Source organism: Homo sapiens, chromosome 4, assembly GCF_000001405.40.
Source record: "Homo sapiens chromosome 4, GRCh38.p14 Primary Assembly".
Lineage (NCBI taxonomy): Eukaryota > Metazoa > Chordata > Mammalia > Primates > Hominidae > Homo > Homo sapiens.
In genome coordinates this window covers 27442253-27456899 of record NC_000004.12, presented here as the reverse complement: position 1 = coordinate 27456899, position 14647 = coordinate 27442253, and the positions used below count along the sequence as shown (strand labels likewise).

The following is a 14647-nucleotide window of genomic DNA, read 5'->3' as shown; positions in this document are numbered from 1 at the left end:
TTTAGAATGCACTATGACTTTTTATAAACTAATGTCCCATCCCACTATAAATATTGTAATGTTTGACAGCTTAATGATAATAAAACCAACTTCCCAAACTTTTTTCAATTTTTCTATGTATTTCAAGATAATTCTAATGAGATAAGTGGAAGATACAAAGATAGAATATGTCAAAACTGAGAAAAATTATGTTCTATAGTTATGCTATTTATCAGTTCTCTAGCTACTATATTTGTTATTCATTTTTATTATCATTACTACTTTAATGGTGTTTAGATACCTATCGTAATAAAAATAAAATCATGTTAATTTTGATTAGCTGAATGCAATACCTGGGATGCTGAAATAGATACATAACAGCCAGAGCAAAAATTTCAATTGATTTACTTAGGAATAGCAAATAATAAACTTTTTTAAAAAAAGAAAAGTAGATTAAAGGCATATAGACATTTTTGTATACCATCATTTTTTGGCTAGTCACCAACTTTGCCATTGAAAGTAATGGCAAAAACCGCAATTAGGTTTGCACCAACCTAATAAATACTTATTAGGATTGGGCAGCAATACAAACTGCTACTGACATAGTCAGGAGGAGGAGGGTCCACTGGAAAGAATAGGAGAGGGCTAATTGGGAGGTTCTGGGAACTGGGTGGAAACATATTCACCAATCTGGACCAGATTTTAGGTGACAGGACTAAATGCAGGAAGTTCTTACTCAAACAATGTTTAAAATACAATGTCTAAAACATAAGTAGTATCTGAAATATAAGCAATGTCTCAAATATAAATATAGATTCAGGAACAGGAGAAGAAGCAGGACAAGCAATGTGCTTCCACATTGCAATAGGCCCTCAAATATCTCCATGTAAGGTCTCCCTGCTATTATAACATGTAAGACTTTGGAGTTGAAATCCTTGTCTACATGTGGGCCCTGCCATTGGCCAGATTTTTGAGCTTGGGTACATGACTCGACTTTGCTAGGATTTAGTTTTCTCATTTATAATACAGGAATAGTATTTGCCTAATAGAGTTGATTCAATGAAATTGCAAAGATTCAGTAAAACAGTATTTTTGTAAGGCTAACACAGAATTATCACCCAATAATATTAGTTGTAATTATATTTATAGGGGTGGGGTGTGTGGTATGGAATGTCATAAACTCAGTTACTGAATCAGTATTGTAAATATATTAAATGTTATATTGAAATATAATGCATGTTTTTATTTGCTCCATGACAGTGTGGAATTTGATATTTCCTTGCTTCTGGTATGGCTGGGGAGTTCCTAGTTGGCCCAGTCCTCATGAAAATGGCAATTCAAACCTGGAAAAATTATTGTAAAACAGCCAACTAAGGTCTGGAGACTAAAAAGATGCAGCAGATAGTGAAGGAAAATCAACTCCTGGAAGGAAGCAACAGCCCTGAGTGAATTTCCTAATTTACGACTTGTACCTGAGAACAAGCTCTGGTCTCCACGATATGCAAAAGCTAAAACGCTGGTAGAAAACCTCCATTCTTAACTGACTTGAAAAACCAGACAGCAGAGTTGAGGGCAAATGCAACCAGTAGAAAGTGAGAAAGAAAATCCTAGAAAACAAATCATGCTGCTATAAAGACGCATGCACACGTATGTTTATTGCGGCACTATTCACAATAGCAAAGACTTGGGACCAATCCAAATGTCCAACAATGATAGACTGGATTAAGAAAATGTGGCACATATATACCATGGAATACTATGCAGCCATAAAAAATGATGAGTTCATGTCCTTTGTAGGGACATGGATGAAATTGGAAATCATCATTCTCAGTAAACTACCACAAGAACAAAAAACCAAACACCGCATATTCTCACTCATAGGTGGGAATTGAACAATGAGATCACATGGACACAGGAAGGGGAACATCACACTCTGGGGACTGTTGTGGGGTGGGGGGAGGGGGGAGGGATAGCTTTAGGAGTTATGCCTAATGCTAAATGAGGAGTTGATGGGTGCAGCACACCAGCACAGCACATGTATACATATGTCACTAACCTGCACATTGTGCACATGTACCCTAAAACTTAAAGTATAATAATAATAAAACTTAAAAAAAGAAAAAAAAAGAAAATGAAATGAAAAAAAAAAAAAAGAAAATCCTAGAAAACAGTCGGGAAGCTCAGAACCTGTGAACAAATTCTTTTCAAATCTCTGGCTAATTGTGAACCACGCATGCATAGCCTAAATTCCAAGCACCCCAGGTAAAGCCAACAAAACAAACAAAAACAAACAAACAACAGCAGCAAAATTTAAACTGTTGCCCACCAAAGGGAAGATGGATTTTATACTTTGAGTCCAGTCAAGTGCCTGCTAACACAAAGGGACCAAAAAAAAAAAAAGGTATTAAATAGAATTTAATAGGTAGTAGATTTTATAGATGTTATAGAATAACATCCATAACATCAATATAGAATATATATAGAATCTATAACATCTATATAGAATAATATCTATAACATCATCCACAATGTCCCAGAAATAATCAAAATTAATTCACATATAAAGAAACAAGAAAATAAGACACATTTTTAAGGAAAGGAAACAAAACAATAGAGAACAGCCCTATCATGACCCAAAAGTGAAAATTTTAACATAAGGACTTTATAAAAGTGATTATAACTGTGTTCAAGGAAAGGAAATTATTCTTATCATAAGTGAAAAGATTGGAAATCTTAGTAAAGAAATAGAAATCCTAGAAAAACGAAATGGGAATTCTAGGATGAAAATAACATAATATCTAAAATAAAAAGTGAGAAGAGTGAAAATCACCTAATCTTACGCAGCATATATAGTTACAAAGACAATAATGCTGATAAAAGTGTTTATGACAGCTAGTGGAGCATATATCAACAGGGATTCAATTTAATTTAGGAGATCAAGGAAACCTTCTCTAACAATGAGATATTTAAGCTGAGATCTGAAGAATTAGTAAAATTGACCTAGGAGAAGGAGTAGCAGAAGCAGGGGAGAAAAGGTGATGAATTCTCAGCAATGGTAAAAATGTTTTAGCAGGATCAGAAGAAAAATGATTTGAATAAACTAAAAAGTAGGGAACATGAAAACATGAGTCGTAGAATACTCCAAGACCAAACTATTTAGGGTCATGTAAATTGTGCTAAAGAGTGTTCTGTGCTAGGTAAATGTATTGAGTGATGTTATTCAGAAGAAAAACATAGTTAAACCTACATTTTCAAACGTTTATTTCCTGTGCATCAATTTCTTCATATGCAGTGGGAATAATGTGGTCACTTATAGCTTTCAAATTCTGTGAGATACAAATTAGGAGTCTTAGTAGATTTGTTCAGCAATCTATACATTCACGTAATTGTGATTCCAAAGGACCGTTGGCTTCGGTGACAAAATCTATTATCTGAGATGCCAAAAATGCCTATGAAGAACTGAGTCCTTGTTAATTCTAAGTAACTCAGGAATGGAAAACCAAACATCATATCTTCTCACTGATATGTAGGAGCTAAGCTATGAGGATGCAAAGGCATAAGAATAATACAATGGACTTTGGGGACTTGTGGGGAAGAGAGGGAGGGGGTCTAGGGATAAAACACTGCAAATATGGTGCAGTATATACTGCTCGGGTGATGGGTGCATGAAAATCTCACAAATCGCCACTAAAGAACTTACTCATGTAACTAAATACCACCTGTACCCCAATAATTTATGGAAATTAATTAATTAATTTCAAACAAAACTGAGTCTTTCTGGGAAAAAAATAACTATGAGCTTATCTTCTGCTTCTTTTGGGCAAAAATGACTGATGGCACAATAGTGAACCTATCAAAAAAATACTTCGTACACTTTATTCTATCCTGTGCTCATATTATAACCTTGCATATAGAACATAGATATTATTTTTGACGGAGAATAAGCAAAATAGAATATATATTCTATTTTGAGTAATGAGTCCTTTATACCAGGGAGATTATAAATAAAGATAGCAGTAATAATAATATTAGTAATACTTGAGCACTATGTAGCAGGCACTTTGTTTTTTTTTAATAGACTCATTTTAATTTCACAACAATTGTGCAGGTTTTCTACTATTATTATCATTCCCATTTCAAAGATAGCAAATTCAGGCATAGAAAGTTACTTCTGTTTGCCAAATTCATTCAGGCATTATTAGGTTGAAGCAAGATCTCTACCCCAGCATTCTAATTTTAGAAAGCACGCTCTAGTGCATCCAATTACACTGGATAGAGTTATTCGTATGCACAGCCCTGTTCAATTTAAGTCAAAGTTACGTTTTGTGGGTGAAGCAGACAGGAGCGCAAAGGTGCCTCTAAAAACAGGGGATCCACCTAGACTTACCTGACTATAAAGAAGCCCCTGTTTTTACCACTTCTTCATCAGTAGTTTAAGAAAAAACAGCACATTTTTGGGCTGACTGGTATGTTATGTTCCCAATAATAAGCTGATTTACAAACAATAAAGACAAAGTCTCTCTTCCAAGAAATTCACAATTTCACCCACTTGAATCATTTTCTTCCTGTCTCGCTGGAAATTCCCATTTCCTCCAGGTGCAGAAGCCATCTTTATCTGCTCAGGCTTTCCTGCAGGTGACAGCGTAGCATTCTAGAAGAAAGGCAGTGGGGAGAAAAAGCAATGCTCATTAAGAGAAAATCAAATTCATATTCCTCACACATATGCCTTCATGTCCACACACTGAGAATTTTTAAAGTTGGAACAAGGATACTTTGCCTGCTTTATTTCTGTTTGCCCTCACACATTTCTGCTCTCTGAAGAAATCAAAAGCAAGGAGAACAGTAAAGATTTGATATACAGTTGCAGAATTGTCCATTTCCATAACCTGGCAGTCCCCGGTGTTGGGGAAATGCTTCTTCCCCATTTCAAAACATTTCTTCCCTGTTCATTCAAGTAATCAACCATTTTTGTAACATCTGTGGCATCTCTTTATTCTGTTTCTTTCCCACAGAGAAAAGTGACTTACCTGAGCAGGGATTTTGATGCAACAATGTGTATTTCAATGAATATAATCTCCAAAAATGCAATAACATTAGACATTAACAATAAAATATTGATAATTAGGAACATCATCTATTTTTACAAATGTATATCATGTGTTTTTAAATAAGTTATTAGTTAAGTATTATGATGGGTATTAGAAAATATTTAGAACTGAGTTTAAGTGAAAACATTACATATCAAATTTTATAATGTACAGATAGTAAAATATTGAAACAGAAACATAATGTTATGTGTATATGAAAAGTATAACTGAAAATTAATGAGGTTATTATTCAAATGATACAGTTAGACAAAATAACATAGAAATAAAGTAGAGAAAAGAATGAATATAATGCAAACAACACAAATCAGTGAAAAAAAATTCCATAAACAAAAGTTATTTGGAATAGTAAAACATATCTTGTAATATGATCGATCAAGAACAAGAAAACACACTATTCAGACAATAGGTATCCTTTTGCAACAGCATAATCACAAAGACGGCAATGTTGCTCATAATAATCTCTATTTTGTTCAATTCCACAAAATTCTAATAGAGATTCACCACATTTTAAAAACTCATTCTAAAATTAATGTTGAAACATAAAGTTAAAATTTGACAAGATAGAAGGAAAATAGAAGGACATAAGGAGGAAAAGGAGGAGATAGAGAAAAAAAGAAGGAAAAGAGAAAGAAACAATCAAAAAAGCAGAAAGAAATACTGATAATCTACCAGATATCCAGAATTTCTGTAAAATCATTTTAATCAAAATGTAGTATTAACAGAAGGATGGAATAAACAATTAAGGCTAATATCTGTCCCATGCACACATGGCAGCTTGGTTTATGATGGAGGTTACATTACAAATTAGTTGATATATCAAATAAGACAAACATACAAAAATGAATAGTGGCTTCAACAATAGCAGATCCTCAACCTTTTAAAGTTTAAGTGAAGGATGAAGAAAGAATGGGGACAATGAAGTGCATAGAGTCTTTATCAAATCTTCCATACACTTCTACTCTTATAGAGGAAAAGAGAAATGGAGCTAGAGATGGCATCAGGTCAAAGGAGAACTATTTTTAAAATATAAAGTACCACAGGGAATGATGGTATGTTAAGGGAAAGTATCCAATGTAGGAGAAATTGTTGATACAGGAGACAGAATACTTTGTGAGCAAATTCTTGAGTCGGTAAGAGAAGATGAGATCTAGAGCATTATGAAGCAGCAGCTTTAGGAGTAGGAAAAATATTGTTATGTAAGGGATGGGAAATATATGAGAAAAAATGAAGTTGGTAGTAGAAAGGTGAGGGATTCCTGTCTGGTTGCTGACTCTGTCCTCACCATTTGGGTGGCCTACCTTAGTCAAATACCTCTGCTTTCTTATCTCTGGGTTCTTCAAATAGAAATGGAAAAAGTATCTATTAACCTCATAGTATTTTGTGATGATCAAAAGAGATGTTGTATATAACGCACATAGCATACTGCCTGGTGCATAATTAGTGCTCAATTAAAAAGACATTCTTATGTGGTAATATATTCTGAGGAAGGCATCACACAAATCCACCAGAACTTGCTGAACACTTTAGCAAGTGGATTAGCTGGCTGTTACTTATAAGTGAAAGGTACAATTTTGACAGAGAAGAAGAGAATTTCTAAAAGTAAGAAAATTATGGATGTCAGAGCCAAAATCTGAGAGAAATTAAAAGTTTGAATTTGGGAATCCCAAGTATTTATTTTTCTGCCTCTACTTTTCCCTCTCTGCACCTCTATTCTTTCATATATGAATTAAGAAAAATGATAATACTATCTCACAGGTAGGTTTTGGATTAATGATTAATAATGTAAAACATAGAGAATGACACCTTACACAGCTATTGTTATTATACAATTTTGTATTATATATATTTATATAAGTAATATTTCATAATATATGTAAATTATAAAATAAAATATACTTTTATACAATATATTTATTATAAAACATTAGTTGTATAAATTAGCTACATAGCTATTACTATATAAATTTTCTCCAAAAGTGGAGAAGAATTAAGAATTATAATAATGCTTTTCATTTACTTCTCTTTCACCCTTTTGAAACAGTGTGTCTTTGAACTGTCACAGTTTAATCCATGAATGAATTCTGATAGTGATGAAAATTAAGTAACATTCAAATTATATAAAATCATATCTTTTATGCCACTCAATTTTATGATGGATCAAATCAATTCTATTTTCTTCTTCTTTGTTTAAACCAAGGTAGCTCAATTACATCACCTTGAGCCTTTATTTAGAAAAGAATGGCAAAACAAAGTTCTCACCAACAAAACTTTTTGGCGTTCAAATGCTTGGAATTACTACACTGTTGGTCTTTTCATTTTCAGATCCTCTAACAATAGATGCAGCACAAGGGCTCTCCAAAACCCTCCATCCTGCTGCTCTTCGAGTTTGATTTGCCATTTCAAAGATTTTAAGAAAGCAAAGGATTCTAGGTTTGATATGTGGTTCAATTAACAAAACAGCATCCTCTATCTGATACAAAACACAGAGAAATTCTTGGCCCTGGAAGTAGTGATTTTCCCATCATTAAAGCATTTAAGAAGATACCTCACAGCCACTCCACAAGAAGGAGGGAAGCCACATGGACTCCAGCAGGCTGAGCCATTTCTTCTGTTAAATGCTTCCTTCTTACTCCCGCCACAGGTTTCTATTGGAGGCTTTCATATTCTCAGAGGATAGCAAATAGTCACAAAGCAGGTGCTTAGAATTAATCCTAATATGTTGTAATTTAGAACATCCAAAATGGAAGAATTTCTTATTTTATCTTATGGAGATCAGGTATTATTTAGGAACGAGTTCTTGAAAAGAATAAGTAATTGGAAGATATTTAATCTTCTTAAAAGATTGAATGTGAGGAGAGATGGATATTTTAAAATATGATTTCTTGCCAAATTTATGAAGACATTTATAATATGATATTAAATTTAAAGTTTCTACTGAAAGGCAAAAATAAAGCACATATCAGATGTCTCTGAGAGTGTAAGACAGTTCCTTCTGGATAAATCTTCAAAGCCACTATTTGAGAACTGGTTGCAGTTTTCTTTGATCTCTTTTTTCCCATTTAGGGGATAGAAAAGGCACAAATGGAATTTATGGGCAAGATTCCTTTGCAGAGAATGGACTGCTAAGTCTGTTGCTGAGTCTCTCTCTGACACGCGCGCGCACACACACACACACACACACACACAAACATACGCAAACCTGAAACCAAGGAGGCATGGGAGCTCAACTTCCTTTAGTTTCAACCCCTCAACACTAAAGTTGAGGGGCTTCACTTCAGTAGGACCACTCATAGAATTTACTATGTGTAACCTCAAGTTCGGAAGGTCTGATTCATGTGTGGGAAATCTAGAAGGCAAGAGAGATGGCTTGGCGGGCTGTTTAGTGAAGAAGTTAGTTGGGATGATAGTCCTGCACTCCCAGAGTTTGTCAAGCCAAACGATGTGTGAACATTAACCATGGACAAGATGTGGGCCACGCAGCAAAGACAGCCAGTGTCCAGTGGGTGAGCATTTCCCATGGACCAGATGTGGGCCACACAGCAAAGAGAGCCAGTGTCCAACGGGTGAGCATTTCCCATGGACCAGATGTGGGCCATGCAGCAAAGAGAGCCAGTGTCCAGACTTGTCTTGTCTTCAAGAGGACTGCATGAAGGTCAAGAGGACACCAGTAGAGAGAGGTCTGTATGAACAGGACTTCCAAAGGCAGTCAGCAACCAGAGCAAAACACATTGTCCTCGCCCAAAGACTCAGGAGGAGGCTCCAAACAACTCACAGCAGTGTTGCTGCTCAGTATCTGCCAGGCCCAAAGTGCACAAAGCCATTTTATGTGATTACCAAGCCAGCAAAAGTATCTGGTAGCTTTGCTCTTCTTGCCCCCAGACTTCAACCCTCACTTCAGGATGAGATAGGAGAGAAGAAAGAAAAAGTAAAAAGCCAACTACTAAATTCTCTTATCCAAAGACAAGTGCTCTGCATATGCCTCAAAAGCCAACATGAACATATTTTATAAAGCAATATTAAGGAAATGGCCTTCCAGAAAGAGCACAGTTGGTTTAAAATATGAGAAAGGGATTTGTAGGAAAAATAAAACTCACAAAAATAAAACTAATTTTTTTATTGATTGATTTTTATATATGTTTTTAGAGTCAGGGTCTCACTATGTTCAGGTTGGAGTGCAGTGGTTATTCACAGTTGCAATTATCACGCACTCCGGCCTAAACTCCTGGCCTCAAGCAATCTTCCTGCCTCAGCCTGCTTAGCAGCTGGAAGTACATACATGTGCCACCACACCTGGCCTAGAACTAACTTTAAAATGTTTTTAAAACTTTTTTTGTAATTTAGCTGTTTTAAACCAAGTTACAGCCTAAAGACAGTGAGGAAGTCTTCTGTCATAATTTCAGTTTGTATAAATATCTCAGAACATAGATATGGAACACTAAGCTCCATTGCACCTCTGCCGCAATAATCATAAGGGAAATGGTGTGAGCACCATATGGCAATCCTAGATTATCTCCCCATCCCAAAGGGAGTTAGAGAATCTAAATGCTAGTCAGCGGCAACACAATAAAGTATTCAAATTAAATCATTTTTATTTAACTCATTTATCAGTGAGTTGAATATTATTTCCTTCTTGCGATAGATAATAGCGCAAATAAAAAGCCACCCCCAAAAACCTCTTAAGATATTCTAGATGGAAAACACATATGAACAAGAGATTGATGACCCAGGAAGAGTAGCTCTGGTGAAAGTAGAGGAATAGGAGTTGGTGAAGGAAGCCAGGCACAATGGCTCATGCCTGTAATCCCAGCAACTCAGGAGGCTGAGCCAGGAGGATCACTTGAGGCTGGAAGTTTGAGACAAGCCTGAGCAACAGAGTGAGACCCTGTCTCTTAAAGAAAATAAAAAATAATAAAAAAAGAATTGATGACGGAAAAATATGGCCAGAGTTGGAGCAAACTAGACTGGCGTTATTGTGTCATGAAATGTTGCAACTGGAAAGGAACCAACCACTTATTTTACAGATAAAGAAACTAGAGTCCAATAAATTAATTTACTCATGATCAAAGAGTAGGTGGCAACACTGGGCCTCAAGTCTAGATCTTTGGACTGTAAATAGTGAAGCCATTTATCTGAACTTGCCTCCTAAGCAATCATCAGCATGGTGTGCTTAGAGAACATCAGCATTGTTCTTAAAGAAGAATAAACCATGAAGGGAAGGGTCCAAAAGGCCATGGCAGTAGAAAGATCAATACTCATGAATAAGTAGAAACAAAATGTTTCCACTGAGAAGGATCTCATGCTTGAGGTCTTAAATTTCAGGAGTATGGGTCTAAGGAAAGCAGCAATAAAGGAATATAATCCCTTCACACATGGTTCAAGAAAGCTTTATGAGGGCATGGGGGGTTTGAGGCTGAGATAAAGCCTATTAAAAGCTCTGAGCTATGTTGAAAGAGGAAATGCTCTAAATATAAAGAATTACTGTAATTTCTGGGGTGTTTTTCGCTGTATAGAATCTAGGACGTGTGGTTTATTAGCTTGATTTTCATGGTGAGAATGAAAAAGAAATTACTTTTTCTTCTTCTTCATGAAGTGTTTGCTGTATGGGGAAAGACATCCTAATCCCTTCTTTACTCACTTTGCATGGCTTTCTATTTCTATTCATTTTGCTTCAAGAGATCATTAAGCCCATCTGTGCTCAGCAGTGATAATGGAAATAGATGGAGACAGATTTGACGGATATGACAACAGAGCAAGGTTTCACACCCAGGATTTTATGCTGAGGAGTTAGGAGGTAAAAGACCTCCTGACTGAGGCAAGATGATTTCAAGAGGCACTCTCCTCTCTGGGAGGGCTTCGGAGCCAGCCTCATCCTCCCGCCCTGGCTTTGTCTTCCAGAGATTAACACAGGAATTCTGACAGTGGCATGTCATTTGTATGACAAGCTGAGCCTGAGGTTTTTAAGAGCCTCTTTCTATATAATCTTTGGAAACACACACACACACACACACACACACACACACACACACACACACACAATCTGAAAGCTAGGACTGGTCCTGTTAGGTTAATACTAAGAAACATTAACTGGGAGAAAAGATTCATTGAACATGGTAGAAAAATGCAAGTGAAACGGCTTGATTGTTTACTGTGGCAGACTTCTGTTGTTCTACTTAAAGTGGCTGGCATAGCATCGAGAATGAGTTTAAACTACCAAGAAATGCAGGGAGTCACCTATGGAAGCTCAGCCTGATGCAAATTATATCAGCACTTCGCAGGGAGAAAATGGCACTCTTGGATGGAAGAAATTGCAATGGAATCAATAAAATATTCCACTCAACTGAGTGATGTGGAGTTAGCTTCCCAATATCTCAGGCTGCAGGCGAAATGTCACAGTCCAGGTTTAAAAGAGATCAAGCAAGACGCAAAAGTCCTGTTTATCATGTGGGTGTTTCTCTGTGAACATGCATGGAAAAGGAAATACAAATATACCTTACGTTTAAGTAGTCAAGAATCATCATTAAATAAACACCTTCCATGTGTCTGTGATTGTCCCAGGTGTCAAATACAAGGTATGAGCAAAGATCTCCAGCTTTTGAGACATGATCAGGACCCAGTTTCTGCTAACCCCCAAAGAACGCTAGAAACCCAGTGCAGACTATCATTACTAACTAACCTGGCTTGACTTAACAGGTGAAATCTATTTGCCCTCCTGCTCTTAACCATGTTCATATATCACAGGCAATAATCTTGAAGTTTATTTCAAGGCAGAAAGGACATGAAATCATTTTAGGTGATGCATAATAACGACATAAGCACTGGACTGAGACCTGAGTGGTTTAAGTCCAACCTCTGCCTATAAAATCTTGGGTGAATCAGAGTCTCTTTGGTTGTCTCTAAATGAGAACTTACTGATGCTTGTTCTAGCTACTTCATGGTATTTTTAGGAAGGTTCTGGAAGCAATATGCCAGCTAGATTGCATGGGAGGCTGGGGGTCTTGCTAGGGGACTCCAGAAGTGACAGGGCATGTGGTGACAAGGGCCTGGGTCAGGGCCAGAAAATGTGAACAGAAAAGAGCATCATAGTCAAATTATCTTTTCAAAATTTTCACTTTTAGCTATGAAACAATTAAAAGATATGGAAAAGAATAATATTGTACTGTCCATTTGATAAGAAAGAAGATTTTAAGTGTCCTTACTACACTCACCTCACCTCAGCTCACACACATGGTAGCTATCGATGGTAATGTATGTGTTCATTAATTTAATGTGGTAATCATTACACAATGTGTAGGCACATGAAATCATTATGCTGTACATCCTGAGCATGTTTCATTTGTATTTGTCAGTTGTACCTCAATAAAGCTAGAAAAAAAAAGGAAAATATTTCTAGGGAAGGCACTAAAACAAGGTTAGGAGAAAAAAATAAAAAATAAAAATATGAAGGAATTAGGGTGAAATGTTTAAAACTTCAGCAATTAATAATTGTTCACTGTATTGTTCAGTTTTTATTTATTATTTATTTATTTATTTTGAGATGGAGTCTCACTCTGTCGCCAGGCTGGAGTGCAGTGGCGATCTCAGCTCACTGCAACCTCTGCCTCTTGGGTTCAAGCAATTCTCCTGCCTCAGCCTCCCGTGTAGCTGGGACTACAGGTGCATGCCACCAAGTCCAGCTAATTTTTGTATTTTTAGTAGCAACAGAATTTCACCATGTTGGCCAGGATGGTCTTGATCTCCTGACTTTGTACAAATAGTTATGTCTAGCTACCATCAATAAACAAAAAATTATTGTATTTCTTGCCAAGGATATTTGGTACATAAGTAAATATTACATCTGTGTTTTAATGTTATTTTGAATCCTTACTCTCAAAGTTGTCATTTAATTTTGTATTATTGTATATTAAAATAACTGTTCCTGTGAAACAAGTAAAGAATATAAACAAAACCTGTGTGTCCATCAACAAAAAAATGTTTTAAAATTGTGACACATTTGCTTAAGAACTCATGTAGAAAGGAAGAGAAAGAAGGAAGAAGGAAGATAAGGAGGGAAGGAGAAAGGGAGGAAAATGGAAAATTTCATATATACAAAAAAATTAACCCTCACTCATTACTCCTCATTTCCACTCCAGACATTACCATTTTCCTCACCTTGATATGTAGTATTTCTTGTATTTTTTTCTAACTGTTACTAAATACATTCTTGGATAAGAGTACCTTCTTATTGGATAAGAATATTGTATTAGTCAGGGTTCTCTAGAGGGACAGGACTAATAGGATAGTTGAATATATGAAAGAAAGTTTATTAAGGAGTATTGACTCACATGATCACAAGGTAAAGTCCCACAATAGGCCATCTGCAAGCTGAGGAGCAAGGAAGCCAGTTCAAGTCCCAAAGCCCTAAAAGTAGGGAAGCCGAGAGCGTAGCCTTCAGTCTGTAGCAGAAGGCTCGAGAGCCGCTGGCAAACCACTGGTGTAAGTCCAAGAGTTCGACACTGAAGAACTTGGAGTCTGATGTTCGAGGGCAGGAAGCATCCGGCATGGGAGAAAGATGAAGGCCAGCCAGGCACGGTGGCTCATGCCTGTAATTCCAGCACTTTGGGAGGTCAAGGTAGGTGGATCGCTTGAGGTCAGGAGTTCAAGACCAGCCTGGCCAACATGGTGAAACACCGTCTCTATTAAAAATACAAAAAAATTAGCCAGGCATTGTGGCATGTGCCTGTAATTCCAGCTACTCAGGAGGCTGAGGCAAGAGAATTGCTTGAACCTGGGAGGCGGAGATTGCAGTGAGCCGAGATCATGCCACTGCACTCCAGCCTGGGCAACAGAGCAAGACTCCATCTCAAAAAAATTAAAAAAATTCAAAAAAAAATTTAAGAAAAGATGAAGGCCAAAAGACTCAGCCAGTCTAGTCTTTCCACATTCCTCTGCCTGCTTTTATCCTAGCCACACTGGCCGCTGATTATCAGGTGTCCACCCATATCAAGGGTGTGTCTGCCTCTCCCAGTCCACTGACTCAAATGTTAATCTCCTTTGGCAACACCCTCACAGACACACCTAGGAACAATACTTTGCATCTTTCAATCCAATCAAGTTGACACTCGATATAAACCATCAGAAATACTTCTTATTTTTTAAATTCTACTGAAATGCTGTCATACTCTCCATATCTTTTTGTGGCTTCCTTATTCAGACAATATTATGTTTTTAGATTTTTCATGTGTGCATACATGAATGCATCAATGCATGTAAATATCATATTTATTTTAAAATTCTATTTAGTCCTTCATTGTATGAATATAGCATTCCCCTTCTGTGGGACAATTAGGTTGTTTCATACTTTCTCTGTTATCAACAGTACCATGGTAAGAATTCTTCTACATGGAAATCTTAAAAGGCAAATCATTCTGTGGGGTGGAAAGTTTATGTAGTATTGCTGGCTAGAAAGGGCATGCCCTTCTTATTGTGCCAACCAACACATCACCAACAATGAATGTGTTTCTTTCCTCCCACGTCTCTGCAAACACTGGCCTTATAAGATATACTCAAGTTGGTGAATCTGT

General features: G+C 36.5%; 1 annotated feature.

Annotated features, from left to right (window-relative positions):
* Positions 13040-14239: an enhancer, noted in NCBI's record as "CDK7 strongly-dependent group 2 enhancer chr4:27444283-27445482 (GRCh37/hg19 assembly coordinates)". NCBI's record gives its function as "activates an origin of replication core promoter dependent on BRD2, BRD4, P300/CBP, MED14 and CDK7 cofactors, with strong dependence on CDK7, by STARR-seq in HCT116 cells {active_cell/tissue: HCT116}" and the evidence as "EXISTENCE:reporter gene assay evidence [ECO:0000049][PMID:35650434]".